Here is a 20904-nt window from a genome sequence, read left to right as displayed (position 1 = left end):
TGAGTGAAAGGCATTGCCTCCCATTCTTGGTGCACGGAGTAGCATGTCTGAGTCTCCTAGAGCATGGCTTAGCCCTACTTCCACCTGCTTCTTTCCAGATATGAATGACAACATCAGTAAGTGCTGCTACATCACCTGGAGGATCCCATGCAAGTATGTGATACATTATTATCTGTCTAATTCATGAAGTGTGTCCCAAACCCACCACCCTGTGAGTCTCACTCCATTAATCAGACTCAGTGGGATGGAGACTGTTGAGAGAAGCACCAACCGTCAGAGCACCTGCCAGGTGTTGCAGACACAGGGAGAGGCAGTAGAGGGCCAGCCTGGGGGCTTTCTGGCCTGGGCTGGAGTCTTCCAGGTGGAAGCAGTTCCCAGTAAATGGAGCAGCATGGTGGGGAAGGGAAGGAGAAGGCTGAAAGGAGGCTGCTAGAAGTGGGGTGGGGTGGACTTGGGAGTCCAAGTGAATGGAATCAGTGCTGCATTGCCCAATAGGCAACCGGCAGGTGCTTAGGAAATCAACAAATAATGCTTTTGAAAGAATACAATATTTGCAACTTCATGCATGTACACAGTGATCAAAGTGGCTATTATTTAAAAAAATCAAAAGTCCCTTATACAGTCTTATCATTACTTTTCAGTTAGTATTGGGTATTTGAAATTACATGCTGAAACACAGAATAACCTTTTTAGAGCCTAGGACCACTCAGGTCTTGCTCTGACCCTGGTTGGAGCTCATCCTTCGGGAAGGAGACAAAAGCCCCCAAATTTACCAGAGAATGGAAGAAAGATGGGATGATCCCTCCTCAGCTTTTGCATTCCTCCATTTTTGATCCTTCTACCCCTTGACTCATAATTTAGACACAAGTAAATGTCTCGCCTGCTTGGGTTTGAGGTAAACATTAGTTCAGGGTTAATTGGATGAGCTGAAACACTCTGAGCATGGAGAGAAAGGATCTAGTCATGGCCAACCGCTAATCCCACAGCCCCCGCCACTGCATGGTAGCTGTCCTGCCCTGAGATTAATCCCCAATGACAGTTTTTTCCTGATCTCCTCCACTGTGCTGAATTCCATTCTATTCTGAAGCTTGGCTCTGACACCCTCTTTGGGGTATGTGGAGGCTCAGGGACCCAGTGAGCTGTTGGTAGCAATATTAGACATTGACTTGTGAACATGTTACTTGAGCTTTGGAGAAAGTAAAGAAGGATATTGGAAGAAAGCTGTATTGGACCCAGCTGGATCACTGGACTCCAGCAAGTCAGGCTGGAGAGGAGGGAGTTGGCACGTGAAGCAAAAAGCTTAGAAGGACCCATGAGGTGGGGACTAGGGCCCCTATATATGGACTTTGGGTGGCCTTGAAATAATATGCAGCATATTAGATATAGATCTGCTCCTTGAAAGTTAGATTGTATGGCCAAACCGCAAACCCAAATATGGATTTCTTACTTCTAGGCATTTGTCTCTCATGGTTCTTTCTATCCATGGAGTTTGCAAACTCCACTTTCTCTTCTGCTTTCTCTCTCCTGCTTTCTCTGTCTGCTTTTCAAGATTTCTGTCAAATGCTACATCTTCTCCGATCCTCCCAGACCAAAGTGGCCCATCTCCACCTCCTCTGACACACCACAGCCTGTGACACCCTCATTCCACATTTATTGGGCACTGCTCCCAGTGCCAGATACTGGGGTAACCTAGACATGTACCATCCCAGCCCTCAGGAGCTTACATTCTAGGGGGTGGAATGGGAAAGGGGGAAATGATCCTCAAGCGAACAAGTATACAAAGTAATTTCCAATGGTAACCAATGCTTTGAAAGACCTAAAACAGGCTATGGTGTGTGGGTTCTTTAGGAAAGGTCAGAGGAGGCCTCTCTAAGAAGGTGACAATTAATCTGAGCCCTACAAGATGAGGAAGATTCAGCCATAAAACAAGCCAGAGGTAGGAAAGCATCCAGGCAGAGAAACCAGAAAAGGCAAAGGCCCTGGGGTGATTGTGTTTGCCTAATGAAAAGAAGGCCAGTGGGACTGGAAGTTCAGCGAGAACAGTAGACCTGTCAGAGCCTTGTAAGCCAAAGGTTGTCAGTAGATGGGCATGGCCTGATTTGGGTTTTAGAAAGAGTACTCTGGCTTCAGGACAGAGAACGGGTTTGAGGGGAGCAAGAAGGGAAGCAGGGGGACCAATTAGGAGACCATTGCAATAGTCCAGGTAAAAGACTGAACTAAGGCAGGGGCACTGAGAATGGAGAGGAGGCAACAGATTGCAGATATTCTTTAGAAAGAACCAACTTATTGATGGACGCATGAGTGCAGGGGGCAGAGGGATGCTGCTCACTTGTCCTCTGTCCCTCATTGCCTGGTATGGCAGACACTCAGGGCTATTTTGTAAATTTCAATCCCAACTACAGTTAACCCAGTGGCAGAGCCTATGCAGTATTCCTTTCCATGTGTCCAGGCAGTCACCATATTCTTTCCAGCTCCCTGGGTTGCCTCATCTCTAACAGGGTCCTGCTCCCTCAAATCCTGCCTGGCTGCCAAGAGAGAAGTATAGATCATAAAATTCAACCTCATCCCTCCTCTCCAGATCCTGAGGCTTGGCTTTTACTCTATGGCTTTGTGAAAAGCAGAAGCAATAATCCAACCACATGTCTTCTTAACAAGGAAATATTTTACTTTTAAATGGAAGGGCGCAGTTATTAAAGGGTCAAAGACCAACTCAAGGCAGGGATGGGCTGGGTAAGTTAGGGACTCTATTCTTTGAATCTTCAGAGGCCCAAATACAGGAAATGTCAGGGCAAAGAAAAGAAGAGGAAAGAAAAGGTTGGTAGGAATTTGACAGGTCTGTTTGTGACTGCTTAAGATGATGCTAAGGCCTTTTTGGGAATAATATTTAAAATTCTAAGGAAATTGAACACTTAAACAAAGGATTTTTAGCAAAGCAATTTTACTTTTGCGCAGAGGGGTGTTTCTCCTTGGCCAGTCGCCATGGGAGCACACTTGAATAAAGGGGCATGAAAGCCTTTATTTCTGACGCAAGTCTTGCTTTTGTATTTTTTTTTTTCATTGGCCAGGATTGGGTTGTACGCTTTAAACTAATTCTGTTTGGCTAAATATTTGAACTTTTTTGTTTCAGATAAGGTGGGCATGTAAGAGAGAGAGGGGAAAGGGGAAGGGGTGTCTGTAATGAGCTAGAGAGTTAGTCTTTTTTTTTTTAATAAGGAAAGGAATGTGAGCTGGTACTGCTAACACCTGGTATTGTGGCGTGTCTGGGCATGTAACAAAGGCAGAAAGGAAGAAAAAAAGACAAAAAGGAAAAAGGGGTGGGGAGGTACTATTAAAGAATAAAGGATTGATTAGGCTATTTGAAGAGAAACTTCATCATATCTTATAGCCTGAAGCTGACCTGGCCATGCTTTAAAGGAAATGAACCCAAAGAAGGGCTTTGGATTTAAAGGAAATGAACCCAGAGAAGCCTCGAAGGGGGCTTCTCTTTCCAGTGCATTCCCAGGAGCAGCCCTAGATGAGGCCACTGCAGACCACCGCTAAGCTTTTGGCATGAGTCTCACACTCCCAGGAAGAGAGGCAGATGCCTCATGATAGGCATAAATCAACAGCCCCTGCGTATGTGTCACTGATAGCTTGAACGAGGACAACTTTGGGGGGAAACTATATAGCAGCTTTCATTTTGGTCTCCCGTTGTGTCTTTAATTTTGAGGGCTGGTTCTTCCTCTGCCCTTGTATAAAACTCAAGGCAGGACCCATGATTTTTCTAGTTGCTCTCAACTAATACCAACCAGTCCCTGATATGTGCTAGTACCTCCTGCCTCAAGACTTTTGCACAAACTACTTCCCTTACCTTTGTCTCCCTTTTCCTCACTTGTCAACTTAGCAAACATTGCTCATTTTATAATTCTCAGCTTAAATGCTACTTTCTCAGAGAGGCATTCTCTGGGCCCCCAATATATTCTTTTCCATGGTGTTGCTTATCACAGTGTATAAGTACATGTTTATTTGTGTGATTATTTAATTTTGTCTCCAGGAGGAAAGGAACATAATCTTTTTGGCTCTTTGTGTGATACTCTTGGTGCTGAGCAGAATGCCCAGCACGTGGTAGATGCTCAGTAAATTTATATTAAATGGATGGACGGATGGATGGATGGATGGATGGATGGATGGATGGACAGATGGATGGATGAGAGGTGGATGGGTGGATGAACAGATGGACAGAGGGACAGATGGATGGATGGATGGATGGGAGATGGATGGATGGATGGACAGATGTATGGATAGATGGATGGACATATTGATGAATGGACAGATGGATGGGTGGATATTCTAACAGGAAGCTCCCATTGATTTTACCTTTTTCCTCAAGTTCCAATATGGCTCGGCACAGCACTGTTACCGATCCTGTCTTTATTTAAGTGTTTTTGTGTTTTGTTCATTGTGATTTTTTCAGTAGTAATTTTGATTTTTTAAATAGTTCACTAAAATATTACTTATTTTTACTACTGAACTTTTTGGTGTCCCCTTGGGTTTTCAACACAAGCGCAAGGCTAGTGCCTCATTTACCACCATCTGGTCCTGACCTGCCCATAGTAAGCACTTAATAAATGATAATGATTGTTAAAATAATCACTGTTGTAACAAGAAGAGCAAGATATAATAAGACAATCACAGGCTTTAGAGTCAGGCAAACTTGGGCTCCAACCACTGACCTTGGGGAACTTGGGTTCCAACTGCTGACCTCAGGGGTGAAAAAAGCTAGCAGGGCCTGAAAAGAGGAGGAAGGCTGGGTACTTCCCAAGGGAGAGGAAGACTTCTGGACACCTATCAGGTGTGCAGACACAGAGAGAAGCTGAGCACCTTTTGGCCTGGGCTGAGCCTTCAAAGAGATGGAGGAGGTGGTCCCAGTGGGTAGAGAGGGGCCAAGTCTGGGACAAAGAAGAAGAAAGAGGGAACTGCCTGAAAGGATCGCATGAATCACCGTGGAGGACACTGGCTCAGGTGTGTATAGGGTCCTGGGGAATAGGGAGCAACCCCTCGGAAAGGAGACTTGCCCAAAGCCAGAAGTCTCCAGGATTCCATGGGGAAGGTAGGAACTTGTACAGAGTCTCAACTCCTCAGCCTCTTGTGCCTCATCTTCATCATCCAAAGGGTGCAGTACATTAGTGACAACTCCACAGTGCCTGAAGCCATGACTACACAAGACCCAGTGAAAAATGAAAGTGTTAGGCCCCTTGTTAAAAAACTACTAACTCCTAAACAACAACGGCAGCAGAGCCTGAAACCAAGAGCAAGGACCTGTGTAATTGCACAGGTCACACGCCCATGATGCCAGCCGTGATCTAGAGCTCACAGCACAGTCGCCACACTGCAGTTGAGGTATCCCAGTTCAGGATGCAGCAGGAGCAGAGCCCAAGGCTCCTACCCCATCCCCTCACCTCTGCCAGCCCTTGGGAATTTCTCTGCCCAGGATTTAATCCCAGGCCCACTTTCTCTCAGCTCTCACTCATTGTGCCAAATTATGACTCCCAGCCCTCTGGGGGCCCAAGGAAGCCATAGGCTCCAGGTCTCAGTGTAGATTTGGTATCAGAGCCTTGGAGAAAACACCAAGGGCTGTTCCATGAAAATTGTGCTGGACACAGCAAGAACTTGAGCGGTTTCTTTGGGCCCTGACAGTTGGGACCTCAGAACTGAAGGAGAGGAGAGTCAGAACCATGAGCACGAAGCCAGAAAGAGCCCAGGAGTGGGGAATGAAAGATTCTTTATACTTTGAGTCTTATGTGACAGAAAGCTCTCTCAAAATTTCCTCGAGCAAAACCAGAAATAGTTTATTAGCTCATAAATTCAGAGTGGATGGCAGGCGTACAGCTCAGGGAAAACCAGCCCCAGGGCATGCAGTTCCACAGGATCCTGGTATCAATGGCATTGCTCTTCTGAAGGCAGACCACAGGACCTCCACTTCCTGAAGGAGCTGCTGCTTTTCTGTCATTAAAATCTGAAAAATCCCTGGGAAGGACCCCAGTTGTCTGACTGGGGAGGTAGGTGCACATCTATTGCAAAGGAGGAGGTACCGTGATGGGCAAGAGCCTCACAGAACCTAATAGCTACATGGGCAGTTCCTCCAAGAAGAGGGCATCTTTCCAGAAGAAAGGAAGGTGCTGAAAAAAACAAACACATGCCCCCTACTTTACTTAAAAAGAAAATACTTGATCACAGAACTTGTCTTAAAGTATTGATAGCCATGCTAAATGTTAATCGTACCCTTGAGCATTTATCCTGGAGAATGAAGACTTACATTCACATAAACAAAGCAGTACATGAATGTTTATTGCAGCATTATTTATAATAGCCCAAAACTGGAAACACCCAGATGTCCTTCAGTGGATAAATGATTAAACAAACTGTGGTTCAACCATATCATGGAATACTATTCAGCAATAAAAAGAATGAACTATTGGCACATGCAACAACCTGAATGAATCTCCAGAGAATTCAGCTGAGTGAATAAAGCCAATCCCAAGAGGTGACATACCATATGATTCCATTTACATAACATTCATAAAATGACAAGATTATAAACATGGAGAACAGATTCGTGGTTGCCAAGAATTGAGGAAGGGGTGGGATGGGTGGGAGGGAGATAAGTGTAGCTATACAAGGGTTACATGAGGGAGCCTTGTGGTGAAGGAACTTTTCTGTATATTGATGATATCAATGTCAATATCCTCTACTATATTGTACTATCGTTTTGCAACATGTCACTTTTGGGAGAAACTGGTGTCAAAGTCAAACAAAATATAGAGATGAATCTCTAAATTTAAAATGTCTTATTTGGGACGCAAGAATTACAATTCAAGACATACATACTGTCTGGGTAGTCTTTAGTATGTCCAAAGACCAAAGAGTAAGCTAGAGGTTTTATTAAAAAGAGAAAAGTTACATATTGTTTTGCAAGAAAGTTCATTGGCACTAGTAAAGTTTTAGGAAACTGGCAAGTTGTGATTGGTGAGTGATAGCAGTGGGTAAGACTAGTCTTAGAACCACAGCAGGTTGTTTCAGTAACTATTAGATAAAATGGGTTTCAGGATAGCACAGGCTGAAACTTCAGCAGCCAGGCTTGCAGAGGACTACATTCTTGGAGCAATGTTATATGTCCCAGACAGGCTTGCATGCAGAGAATTACATTATTAGACCAGTGTTGGTTTTTTGTTTTTGTTTTTGTTTTTTTTTTTTTGAGACAGTCTCGCTCTGTCGCTCAGGCTGGAGTGCAGTGGCGTGATCTCGGCTCACTGCAACCTCCGCCTCCCAGATTCAAGCAGTTCTCCTGCCTCAGCCTCCTGAGTAGCTGGGATTACAGGTACCCGCCACCATGCCCAGCTAATTTTTGTATTTTTAGTAGAGACGGGGTTTCACCATGTCTATTGGGCTGGTCTGAAATTCCTGACCTCGTGATCCACCCTCCTTGGCCTCCCAAAGTGCTGGGATTACAGGCGTGGGCCACTGTGCCCGGCCTAGACCAATGTTATATGCCCTCAGTGTTTTCTCCCCCTGGCATCTCAACTCTGTTTTAGTTGGGTATGACAAGAATGACCCAATTGTATGGTCAACTTTTACACTGTGTAAAGAGTACACTACCCAGGATCTCTCTGTATTATTTCTTACAATTGCATGTGAATCTACAATTACCTCAAAATAAAAAAGTCCAATTTAAAAACATTAATGATCATGCTTATGTGTACATTATTTGTATACTATAGACACATCCAAAATGTGCCTCAATTTGATCATGTCCATGCCTTTGTCTTAAATAGTGAGGTCTAGTATTAGAGAGACCTTGGTTCAAATGCCAGCTTTGCCCTTTACTACCCATGTGGGCATATAGCAAATATTAGCAAATTACTCTATTGCTGTATGTCTCCATAGCCTCATCTGGAAAAAGAGCTAATGACTGTGCCTATTTCACAAGATTGTAGTTAAGATTTAATTATATAATAATTGTAAAACATAAAACAGTAAGTAGCCCATATCTCATTGCAACTATTTACTATCCTTATTGGCAGTTACAGCTGACTAGGATCTTCTTCCTCCCTTCCCTGCCTTTTGAAGCAGTATACAGTCTCTGTCCTATTTCTGAGACCTGCATCAAATGCTATCCCTTTCAGAAATGTTTCTCTTCATCCCAGTCCAAAGGGATGCATCTGGACCTCCCTTGAAATCTCCAATGGGCACAAAGGCTCCACAGCTCTGGATGGCAGAAACTTCCTCAATCCTCTATCTCTACCCTAACTAGAATAAAGCATCTTTACTAAGATTTATGTAGTCCTTCTCTAACAAGTACCTAGTTTAATTAAAAGCAACAAGCCTCAGCCGGGCACAGTGGCTCACACCTGTTATCCTAGCACTTTGGGAGGTGGAGGTGGGAGGATCACTTCAGCCCAGGAGTTCAAAACCAGCCGGGGGCAACATAGCAGGACCCCATTTCTAAAAAAAAAAATTTTTAAGTTAGCCAAGCATGGTGGTGCATGCCTGCAGTACGGGCCACTTGGGAGGCTAAGGTGGGAGGACCACTTGAGCCTGGGAGGTCAAGGCTGCAGTGAGCCGTGATTGTGCCACTGCACTCCACCCTGGTGAACAAAGGAAGAACCTGTTTCAAAAAAATTTTAAAAATAAAGCAACAAGCCTCCTCTTGAATAAGGAACTATTACTTTTGCGTTCAGCAAATTTATAAAAAAGATAAATCTATCCTTATGGCCCAAAAGGAGGATTATCAGTTAGCTTTTGCTACATCATAAATCACCACAAAATGTAGTGACTTAAAACAGCAAACAGCTATTCTCACAATTCTGTAGGTTGGAGGGGTAGTTCTCCCGGTCTGAGCCAGCTCAGCCAGGGTTTGAAGGCCTAGGATAACCTCTCAGCTGGGACAGCTGGGATGTCTGGGGACCTTTCTCTCCTTGTGGTCTCTCCTCCTTTGGTAGGCTAGCATAGGCTGGCACATGCGGTGGTATAAAAGTTCTCAGCAGTGAAATATTAATAATGCAAGTATCAATGCACCAGCACTTTTCCGGCCTCTGTTTTCATCACATTTTCTATTGTCTCATTGTCCAAAGACAGTCACATAGCAAAGACCAGATTCAGTAGGCGAAGGGACTTCCCAAGGGTAGGCACACTGGGTGGTAGGAATTACTGCACCCATTTTTGCAAACAGTCTATCAAAGGAAGGAATTAGTTAAATATTTAAACCAAGATCTAATTTCAGATAACCAGTGTGAGTTAGGAGAAACATTTGGCGCAAAACTGAAACCAATTCATTTGACTTGGTATCACCAAATACACATACAGTGGCTGGTATACAGGAATGGTCAGAAGATATTTAAGGGACTCCATCTCTGTGCAACCCTAGAGCAGTTTCAATTGCATGGCATAGCGCAGACTTTAGCTACAGGCCTCTTTAAGGAGACATTGTTTGGATTGGTTTTGTTTCTCTAAAAAGGACCTGGGCCCAGTCTTACACAAGAAACAAGAAGATGAGTTGGCAGGCTCTGTTATTCCCCTTATCACTTAAGAAGAAAGTTTTTCTCGTGTAATAGGCCATTTAAGATCATGCACAAGGATTCCCAGGCAAGATGCCTGAATAGGAACAGCTCTGGTCTGCAGCTCCCAGTGAGACCAACCCAGAAGGCAGGTGATTTCTGCATTTCCAACTGAGGTACCCAGTTCAGCTCATTGGGACTGGTTGGACGGTGGGTGTAGCCCATGGAGGGTGAGCAGGAGCAGGGTGGGGCATTGCCTCACCCTGGAAGCACAACACAGTCTTACAAGCCTACTCTGGACCAAGCGGCTGACCCCTTCTTCCAACCCCCTTCTCACTATCTCTTTTGCCTAATAAAGATGGAGGGCTATGTAAAGCTCAGGGCCCTTGTCCACTAGAGGCAAAGTGGCCCCTGACTAAATATATTCTTTTGTCTCTTGTCTTTTATTCCCACGTTCACCCCCTTTGTTCAGTCCCCCTAGGTCTGTATAAATTACACAAGGGGTCAGGGAACTCCCTCCCCTAGCCAAGGGAAGCCATGAGGGACTGTGCTGTGAGGGACAGTGCTATCCGGCCCAGATACTATGCTTTTCCCATGGTCTTCGCAACCCACAGACCAGGAGATTCTCACGGGTGCCTACACCACCAGGGCCCTGGGTTTCAAGCACAAAACTGGGCGGCCATTTGGGTAGACACTGAGCAAGCTGCAGGAGTCTTTTTGTACCCCAGTGGCACCTGGAACACCAGCAAGACAGAACAGTTCGCTCCCCTAGAAAGGAGGCTGAAGCCAAAGAGCCAAGTGGTCTTGCTCAGCAAATCCCACACCCACTGAGCCCAACAAGCTAAGATCCACTGGCTTGAAATTCTCGCTGCCAGCACAGCAGTCTGAAGTCTACCTGGGACATGCAAGCTTGATGGGGGGAGGGGTGCCCACCATTACTGAGGCTTGAGTAGGCAGTTTCCCCTCACAGTGTAAACAAAGCCACCTGGAAGTTCGAACTGGATGCAGAACCCACCTCAGTGCGGCAAAGCCGCTGCAGTCAGACTGCCTCTCTAGATTCCTCCTCTCTGGGCAGGGCGTTTCTGAAAAAAAGGCAGCAGCCACAGTCAGGGACTTACAGATAAAAGTCCCATCTCCCTAGGACAGAGCACCTGGGGGAAGGGGTGGCTGTGGGCGCAGCTTCAGCAAACTTAAACATTCCTGCCTGCCAGCTCTGAAGAGAGCAGCAGATCTCCCAGCACAGCACTCAAGCTCTGCTAAGGGACAGACTGCCTCCTCAAGTGGGTCCCTGCCCCCATGCCTCCTGACTGGAAGACACCTCCTAGCAGGGGTCAACAGACACCTCATACAGGAGAGCTCCGGCTGGCATCTGGCGGGTACCCCTCTTGGATGAAGCTTTCAGAGGAGGGAGCAGGCAGCAATCTTTGCTGTTCTGCAGCCTCCATCAGTGATACCCAGGCAAACAGAGTCTGGAGGGGACCTAAAGCAAACTCCAGCAGACCTGCAGAAGAATGGCCTGACTGTTAGAAGGAAAACTAACAAACAGAAAGCAATAGCATCAACATCAACAAAAAAGATGCCCACACAAAAACCCCATCTGAAGGTCACCAACGTCAAAGACCAAAGGTAGATAAATCCACGAAAATGAAGGAAAACCTTTGCAAAAAGGCTGAAAATTCCAAAAACCAGAATGCCTCTTCTCCTCCAAAGGATCACAACTCCTCGCCAGCAAGGGAACAAAACTGGATGGAGAATGAGTTTGATGAATCGACAGAAGTAGGCTTCAGAAGGTGGGTACTAACAAACTCCTCCAAGCTAAAGGAGCATGTTGTAACCCAATGCAAGGAAGCTAAGAACCTTGATAAAAGGTTACAGGAACTGCTAACTAGAATAGCCAGTTTAGAGAAGAGCATAAATGATCTGATAGAGCTGAAAAACACAGCACGAGAACTTCGTGAAGCATACACAAGTATCAATAGCCGAATTGATCAAGCAGAAGAAAGGATATCAGAGACTGAAGATCACCTTAATGAAATAAAGCATGAAGACAAGATTAGAGAAAAAAGAATGAAAAGGAATGAACAAAGCCTCCAAGAAATATGGGACTATGTGAAAAGACCAAACCTACATTTGATTTGTGTACCTGAAAGTGACGGGGAGAATGGAACCAAGTTGGAAAATACACTTCAGGAAGCCAGGAGAACTTCCCCAACCTAGCAAGACAGGCCAACATTCAAATTCAGGAAATACAGAGAACACCACAAAGATACTCCTCGAGAAGAGCAACCCCAAGACACAAAATCATCAGATTCTCCAAGGTTGAAATGGAAGAAAAAAATGTTAAGGGAAGCCAGAGAGAAAGGTCTGGTTACCCACAAAGGGAAGCCCATCAGACTAACAGTGGATCTCTCTGAAGAAACCCTACAAGCCAGAAGAGAGTGGGGGCCAATTCAACATTCTTAAAGAAAAGAATTTTCAACCCAGAATTTCATATCCAGCCAAACTAAGCTTCATAAGTGAAGGAGAAATAAAATCCTTTACAGACAAGAGAGCCTGCCTTACAAGAGGTCCCGAAGGAAGCACTAAATATGGAAAGGAAAAACCTGTACCAGTCACTGCAGAAACATACCAAAATGTAAAGATGATTGACACTATGAAGAAACTGCATCAATGAATGGGCAAAATAACCAGCTAACAACATAATGACAGAATCAAATTCACACATAACAATATTAGCCTTAAATGTAAACAGGCTAAATGCCCCAATTAAAAGACACAGACTGGCAAATTGGATAAAAGAGTCAAGACCCATCAGTGTGCTGTATTCAGGAGATCCATCTCACGTGCAAAGACACACATAGGCTCAAAATAAAGGGATGGAGGGATACTTACCAAGCAAATAGAAAGCAAAGAAAAGCAGGGGTTGCAATCCTAGTCTCTGATAAATAGACTTTAAACCAACAAAGATAAAAAATGACAAAGAAAGACATTACATAATGGTAAAGGGATCACTGCAACAAGAAGAGCTAACTATCCTAAATATATATGCACCCAAAACAGGAGCACCCAGATTTATAAAGCAAGTTCTTAGAGACCTACAAAGAGACATAGACTCCCACACAATAATAGTGGAAGACTTAAACACCTCACTGTCAATATTAGACAGATCAACTTGACAGAAAATTAATAAGGATATTAAGGACTTGAACTCAGCTCTGGGCCAAGCGGACCTAATAAATATCTACAGAACTCTCCACCCTGACAGAATATACATTCTTCTCAGCACCACATAGCACTTATTCTAAAATAGAACACATAATTGGAAGTAAAACACTCCTCAGCAAGTGCAAAAGAACAGAAATCATAACAGTCTCTCAGACCACAGTGCAATCAAATTAGAACTCAGGATTAAGAAACTCACTCAAAACTGCACAACTACATGGAAACTGAACAACCTGCTCCTGAATGACTACTGGGTAAACAACAAAGTTAAGGCAGAAATAAATAAGTTCTTTGAAACCAATGGGAACAAAGACACAACGTACCAGAATCTCTGGGACACGGCAAAAGTAGTGTTTAGAGGGAAATTTATAGCACTAAATGTCCACATTAGAAAGTGGGAAAGATCCAAAATTGACACCCTAACATCACAATTAAAAGAACTAGAGAAGCAAGAGCAAACAAATTCGAAAGCTAACAGAAGACAAGAAATAACTAAGATCAGAGCAGAACTGAAGGAGATAGAGACACAAAAAACCCTGCAAAAAATCAATGAATCCAGGTGCTGGTTTTTTGAAAAGATTAACAAAATAGATAGACTGCTAGCCAGACTAATAAAAAAGAAAAGAGAGAAGAATCAAATAGACACAATAAAAAATGATAAAGGGGATATCACCACTGATCCCACAGAAATACAAACTGCCATCAGAGAATACGATAAACACCTCTATGCAAATAAACCAGAAAATCTAGAAGAAATGGATAAATTCCTAGACACATACACCCTCCCAAGACTAAACCAGGAAGAAGTTGAATCCCTGAATAGACCAATAACGAGTTCTGAAATTGAGGCAGTAATTGATAGCCTACCAACCAAAAAAAGCACAGGACCAGATGGATTCACAGCCGAATTCTACCAGAGGTACAAAGAGGAGCTGGTACCATTCCTTCTGAAATTATTCCAATCAACAGAAAAAGAGGGACTCCTCCCTAACTCATTTTATGAGGCCAGCATCATCCTGATACCAAAACCTGGCAAAGACAAAACAACAACAACAACAAAGGAAATTTCTGGCCAATATCCCTGATGAACATCATTGCAAAAATCCTCAATAAAATACTGGCAAACCAAATCCAGCAGCACATTAAAAAGCTTATCCATGGCTTCATCCCTGGGATGCAAGGCTGATTCAACATATGCAAGTCAATAAATGTAATCCATCACATAAACAGAACCAATGACAAAAACCACATGATTATCTCAATAGATGCAGAAAAGGTCTTCGATAAAATTCAACAACACTTCATGCTAAAAACACTCAATAAACTAGCATTGATGGAACATATCTCAAAATAATAAGAGCTGTTTATGACAAACCCACAGCCAAAATCATACTGAATGAGCAAAAGCTGAAAGCAATCCCTGTCAAGAAATGACAATATGTTGTGTAATCAACATACTGATTGGTGAATATTGTGAAATCTATTCCTTATATTCTTTCACTAAAAAAATATGCATCTAATACTGTGTCAGGCTCCTCTGTACACCACTTCCATTCTATCAGCTTTATCTCTGACTCTAGCCACCACTACAGCAGCCAGTTGCACCCAGGCTCTGCCCAGCTCAAGACGGTATAATCTGACAGCACCTCACCTTGTCCATCATGCACACCCCACTTTTCCTGCACCGGGGATTCTCTGATGCTGAGGTATAAGAAGGATCAGCTCATTACTCAGGCACGTACAACCTGGAAGTCTGGACAAGTAGTTCCTACCACACCTGAGTTTATGTCAATGAAGTGACTTTTGGAAAGCCTTAGGGATGAGAACTGGTTGCCATGGGAGCCAACCATGAAAGGATTGGAAATTTCAGCCTCTACCCCTAAACTCCAGGGAGGGGAGAGAGGCTGGAGATTGATCTGATTACTAATGGTTAATGATTTAATCAATCATGCTTATGTAATAAATCTTCCATAAAAACCTAACAGAATGGGGTTTAGAGAGTTTCCAGGTTGGTGAACTTGGAACAGTGTTCAGTGGAGGCACTGAGAGGATGGTACACCTGGAGAGGACACAGAAGCTCCAAACCCACTCCCCATGCCTTTCCCTATGCATCTCATTGACCTGGCTGTTCCTGAGTTGTATGCTTTATAATATAACCCTGTAAGTAAACTGTTCTTCTGAGTTCTGAGAGCTACTTTAGTAATTATGGAATCTGAGGAGGGGGTCTTGGGAAATTCTGATGTGTAGCCAAGTCAAACAGAAGTTGTGGGTAACCTGGGGACCCACTATTTGAGATTGGCATCTGAAGTGTTGCCAGCCTCACGGGACCGAGCCCTTAACCTGTGTGGTCTATGCTAACACCAGGTAGTCTCAGAAGTGAAGCATTGAGAATAGTAGTAGAGAATAAATGGGAGTTTTCTTTTGAAGGAATAATAAGATTCTGGCTATATTTTTGGAATTAGGGCCAAAAATACTTATTAATGAATTAGATATGGGGTATGAGATAAACAGAGGAGTCAAGGATATCTCCAGACACTGGACGAGGACTATTCCTTTCCCAGAGACTAAGCGCAGGGCTGAGAAGGAAGGCAGGCTACCCCAACAAGGCGACATTTTAGCTCCCATGTGCTCATCCTTGCCCTACACTCTCCCCATTATATTCTAGAGTAGCTCAGCTTATGCTAGACAATCATGCTGTGTGAGTACACATCATGGGCTGTACATTACGGGATGTCGTATGAGCTGTGTTTACCAGCAGAGATCACAGCTCTACAAGTTGAAGTGTTCTCTCTGGTGGTCCCCATGTGTACAGGCTATTTGAGCATCTGAAGGTGGTTAGCTCCTGAGGAAAAAAAACTCCACTGTTTAGAGGATGAATGAATCTCCCAGAGGGAAGTATCCATCATAAAGTATTTGCTCTCTCTGCCTGTACTTATTGGAACAACTCGGGAAGTCCACAAGGACAGTCCAAGTCATCTTTGTCGTCTACTTCCTATTGCATTCTCAGCCTTGTTTCCTTTTTAGAAAGAGCCTGTTAACTATCATAAGTCAAAAAACAGCATTCTGACCTCTGCCCTGTAACTTCCTCTTCTTCTTATAAATACAAGGGCAGAACTGGCATCCCGAGAAGCCAGGAAGCAGTGAGCCCAGGAGTCCTCGGCCAGCCCTGCCTGCCCACCAGGAGGATGAAGGTCTCCGTGGCTGCCCTCTCCTGCCTCATGCTTGTTACTGCCCTTGGATCCCAGGCCCGGGTCACAAAAGGTGAGTCCAGTGAGCTTTCTCTCAGATGACCAGGTTCATGGTAACTCAAGCTCTGTGGCAGAGACACATTGCCCTCCTGTAACTACTCTCCATCCCAGACGTGGTCATGGTACTCATTTAAAAGCAGCACCAGAGTATAGACCTGGTTCTGTCTGCAGGCTTTGGACCCTGGGAGGGGAATATACACATATGGCTGGTCCAATGTGGGGCCAATCATTTCCCTTTTCACAGCAAAAATTATTTGATACCTTCCCTTAGCAGACATAGGACTATTAAGTGCTAGATTAAAAGAAGTGTAGTAAAATTACAAATTTGTAGAAAGAAGCATAGAATTGTATGATGCTAAAACTGTTACATACCATCTAGTAGTATCTATCATATCATTTTGGAGAAGAAATGGAACAAGCCACACAAATGACTCAACCAAGGTCACCTAACCATCGTATTTTTTTGTTTAACAAATGCACTTCTAGTACTTCCTATGTACAGGGCAGGCACTGTTCTAAGTGTCTTACAGATATTAACACATCAGTTCCACCTAACAACCCTGTGGGATATGTATTAGATTTTAAAAAATGCAAATTTTTTACTTTTGTAGGGAAGAAACAAAACATCAACTTTTATATGGTTTTTCATATTATTATTATTGACATTTTACAAATGAGAAAACTGAGGCACAGAACCTTAGATAACTTGGTAGATCACACAACTATTAAGCGGTGGAATTAAAATATGAGCTAATTAGGAAGTAGTTATGGAACGACAAGGCCATTTAAGATCTTTTTTTTACCTTACCCAAACCATATTGAGCATATTAAAATATACCCACATGTCTCATTACATATAATTCATTTAATGTAACCATATAAGAAATAAGTTGAAAACACTGGAAAGCAATTGGGGGACTAATTCGGCAGCTGAATCGTTATTGCCAAGTCTTTATGTTTCAAAATGTTAAGTAAATATCAACTTTAAAGCCAGCTTTAAAATTATTAATAGTATATTTAATATAATTGTTAAATTATATTAAATGCATAGTCATTAAATTATATTAAAAGTATATTTAATATCCTTATTAAATTATATTAAAAGATATTTAATATAGTCATTAAATTATATTAAAAGTATATTTATTTTTAAATATATGAAAAGTACACATATATTATATTAAAAGACACATGCACATGTATCTTTATTGCAGCACTAATCACAATAGCAAAGACTTGAAACCAACCCAAATGCCCATCAATGATAGACTGGATAAAGACAATGTGGCACATATACACCATGGAATACTATGCAGCCATAAAAAGAAATGAATTCATGTCCTTTGCAGGGACATGGATAAAGCCGGAAACCATCATCCTCAGCAAACTAACACAGAAACAGAAAGCCAAACACCACATGTTCTCACTCGTAAGTGGGAGTTGAACACTGAGAATGCATGGACACAGGGAGGGGAACATCACACACTGGGGCCTATCGGGGAGTGGAGGGTAAAAGGAGGGAGAGCATTAGGACAAATACCTGGTGCATGCAGCAGCCCTAGATGATGGGTTGATAGGTACAGCAAACCACCATGGCACATGTATACCTATGTAATGAACCTGCGCGTTCAGCACAGGTATACCAGAACTTAAAGTCAAATAAAATTTAATTTAATTTAACTTTAAAAAAAGAAAAAGTCTATTTAATAGTTATTACATTATATTTAAAATATATTTAATAGTTATTAAATTATATTAAAAGTAAATATTTATTATATTTTATTTTATTTTGAGTTGGAGTCTCATTCTGTGGCCCAGGCTGGAGTACAGTGGCACCATCTTGGCTCACTGCAACCTCTACCTCCTGGGTTCAAACGATTCTCCTGCCTCAGCCTCCCTAGTAGCTGCGATTACAGGCACATGCCACCATGCCTAGCTAATTTTTGTATTTTTTTTTTTTAGTAGAGACGGGATTTCAACATGTTGGCCAGGCTGGTCTCAAACTCCTGACCTCAAGTGATCCGCCCGCCTTGGCCTCCCAAAGTGCTGGGATTACAGGCGTGAGCCACCGCACCCGGCCAAATTTTAAGGCTAGCTTTATTCTGTGAGACAGTCAATTGTGGAAATAAACTAACTTTAAGGATTAAAATTTAAAAGAAAGGAAAAATGTTTAAAGCTTAGTTTCATTTGCCTAACAAGCATAAGGCAGCTCCACAATCCCATTTCCAAAGCACTTGGCGCTAGATGAATTTTGGAATGCAGAATTTCTCAGGTTTTAAAAAGTTAATATGATATGATGCAGCAATTCTATTTCTGGGTATATATCCAAAATAATTCAAAGCAGGTACATGAATTGATTTTTATACACCCATATTCATAGCAGCATTATTGATGACGGTAGCCAAAAAGTAGAAGCAAACTAAGTGCCCATCAAAAGGTTAGTAGATAAACAAAGTGTGGTTCATACATACAATGGAATCTATTTGGCCTCAAAAAGTAAGGAGATTCCCTTGAATGTTGAAGTAAGAAAAAATAAAAATTTAAGTAAGGAGATTCTGACACATGCTACAACATGGATAAACATCAAGGACATTATGCTAAGTGAAATAAACCAGTCACAAAAGGACAAATAGTGTATGATTCCACTCACATGAGGTACTTAGTCAAATCCACAGAGACACGACACAGATAGTGATTGTCAGGGATTAAGGGGAGGAAGCATGAGGAGTTGTTGTTTAATGAATACAGAGTTTCAGTTTCACAAAATGAATGAACGGCCGTGAAAACTGCATAGTTATTTGAGTGTATTTGATGCTATTGAACTGTATACTTAAAATAGTTCAAATGGCAAATTTTACGTTATATATATATATATATAACCACGATTTAAAAATGATTTAGTAAAAAACTTAAACATATATTGATGGTACTTATCCCTGATGAGGCCTGGGAACAGTATTTTAATCAAACACAGCAACCTCCTGTAACAAACACATGAATATTTCTACTAACTGGGATAAATAATGACCATAATAGCTGCACTTCACTTAAAGGGATACTGTGCCACCATATGAGCTGATGAACACCTCTCTGTTTCCAGAGCCCTGTGGATTCCAGAAATGTGTAGAGAGACTTGTAGACTGTGTCACATCATGTAGACATTCCATTAACTGAACCATGTTAGATTTTGAGGTTTCTTTTAGTATTTCAGAGTCAACACAGTGTTTTCATGTCTACATTTTCAAAAGGTCCCTGAAAAATCTCAGGGCCCTAAAGGAATAAATGGGCCAGGAGTCAGGCCTAGAGCCCAGACAGGTGGTGGTGGTCCAGCTTCAGGGACCTTTCTGCCTCAGGAGGAGGATGAGCAATGGGGTGGGTGGAGATGCTGAAACAATGCTGCCGCCCAGTGATTTCCTTCCCTGTCCTGTCTGCTTCTTCCAGATGCAGAGACAGAGTTCATGATGTCAAAGCTTCCATTGGAAAATCCAGTACTTCTGGACAGTAAGTGATCAGATACGGCATATATTTAAAAGCAGCCAGCAGGTGCAGGTCTGCACTATGGGATCCATTGTCCCTGTTTACAGAATGGGAGGAGAATGAGAGGGTCCTGAGGGTGGTGAACATCTCCAAGGAAGATCAGGACGGGCTATGGGAACCCCCTCCATAGATGCCTTCTCTGTTCCCCTCTGGCTGCCCCAAGAGTCTGCTCCTTTGGGGCAGAAGGTGCTCTCTGATGCCTGCAGGTGTCTGCAGATGCCTTCCCCTTCTAGGGGAAATTTTCCTGGTCCTGCTCTGGCCCACCCTGAGTGCCCTCAGACACACAGCTCAACTCTGATGAGGGTCTGAAGCAGGGAGATGCCAGCAAGTGCTGGTCACGGAGGAGGAAACATCTCTTCTGAGCCATGTGCCTTCTCACCCTCCACAGTGCTCTGGAGGAGAAAGATTGGTCCTCAGATGACCCTTTCTCATGCTGCAGGATTCCATGCTACTAGTGCTGACTGCTGCATCTCCTACACCCCACGAAGCATCCCGTGTTCACTCCTGGAGAGTTACTTTGAAACGAACAGCGAGTGCTCCAAGCCGGGTGTCATGTAGGTGCCAAGCTCACCAAACATGTGTTGAGGGAGAAGGACTCTGTAGCATCTTGCAGGGAGGACCTGATAGACTGGTGTCCATCAGGGCCCACCCTCTGGATCCTGCCAGGTATGGGGCAGCTGTGTCCTTAGGAAGATCCTGCAGGGCATCGGGGATGAGACACTCCCAGGGGGAAAAGGGTGGGGAAGGAAGAAGAAAGCAGGCACAAGTCTGCCCAAGGATGCTCCCATGAGTCACTAGGGAGTCCCACAGGCTGAGGGGGTCTCAAGAGCACAATGGCCCTGAGCTGCCATCAGCAGAGAATGAAAAAAAAAAGAAAAAAAAACTGGCTATATTGACTGGGAAATCTGAGGGGCAGGGAGAATGGGGCCCCCTGTCCCCATGTGCTGGACACACCTCAGTTTGTAACTTTTCTCCCCCTTGTTCCCTAGCTTCCTCACCAAGAAGGGGCGACGTTTCTGTGCCAACCCCAGTGATAAGCAAGTTCAGGTTTGCATGAGAATGCTGAAGCTGGACACACGGATCAAGACCAGGAAGAATTGAACTTGTCAAGGTGAAGGGACACAAGTTGCCAGCCACCAACTTTCTTGCCTCAACTACCTTCCTGAATTATTTTTTTAAGAAGCATTTATTCTTGTGTTCTGGATTTAGAGCAATTCATCTAATAAACAGTTTCTCACTTTTTTTGTGTGATAGGGTCTCTGTCACCCAGGCTGGAGTGCACTGGTACATCTTGGCTCACTGCAGCCTAATCTCCTGGGCTCAAGTAACCCACCTACCTCAGCCCCACAAGTAGCTGTGAAACA

General features: G+C 43.4%; 1 protein-coding gene across 2 annotated transcripts, besides 1 other annotated feature; it reads left to right on the top strand.

Moving 5' to 3' along the window:
• Nucleotides 10247–10748: an enhancer, noted in NCBI's record as "H3K27ac hESC enhancer chr17:34350127-34350628 (GRCh37/hg19 assembly coordinates)". NCBI's record gives its function as "activates a minimal SCP1, AML or CMV promoter by ChIP-STARR-seq in primed H9 embryonic stem cells {active_cell/tissue: H9 hESC(primed)}" and the evidence as "EXISTENCE:reporter gene assay evidence [ECO:0000049][PMID:30033119]".
• On the top strand, nucleotides 15866–20780 carry CCL23 (C-C motif chemokine ligand 23). Of its 2 annotated transcripts, none has more exons than NM_145898.4 (4): nucleotides 15866–16016; nucleotides 19445–19504; nucleotides 19980–20094; nucleotides 20530–20780. In NM_145898.4, exons 1-4 carry the CDS (start codon nucleotides 15941–15943, stop codon nucleotides 20639–20641), a joined length of 363 nt encoding a protein of 120 aa, NP_665905.2. In that variant the 5' UTR covers nucleotides 15866–15940; the 3' UTR covers nucleotides 20642–20780. The 2 variants fall into 2 exon arrangements, with proteins under 2 accessions (NP_665905.2, NP_005055.3); NM_005064.6 differs by having other exon boundaries at nucleotides 19929–20094.

The sequence above is a fragment of the Homo sapiens genome, chromosome 17 (assembly GCF_000001405.40).
Source record: "Homo sapiens chromosome 17, GRCh38.p14 Primary Assembly".
NCBI lineage: Eukaryota > Metazoa > Chordata > Mammalia > Primates > Hominidae > Homo > Homo sapiens.
This window is presented reverse-complemented; position numbering and strand designations above follow the sequence as displayed.

What these genes read in the sequence shown, in the direction of transcription:
- CCL23 (NM_005064.6), top strand. Translation starts at nt 15,941, where the DNA reads ATGAAGGTCTCCGTGGCTGCCCTCTCCTGCCTCATGCTTGTTACTGCC. An exon ending in AAATCCAGTACTTCTGGACA is followed by an intron (nt 19,505 to 19,928) that starts GTAAGTGATCAG and finishes CACCCTCCACAG; the next exon opens with TGCTCTGGAGGAGAAAGATT. An exon ending in TGCTCCAAGCCGGGTGTCAT is followed by an intron (nt 20,095 to 20,529) that starts GTAGGTGCCAAG and finishes CTTGTTCCCTAG; the next exon opens with CTTCCTCACCAAGAAGGGGC.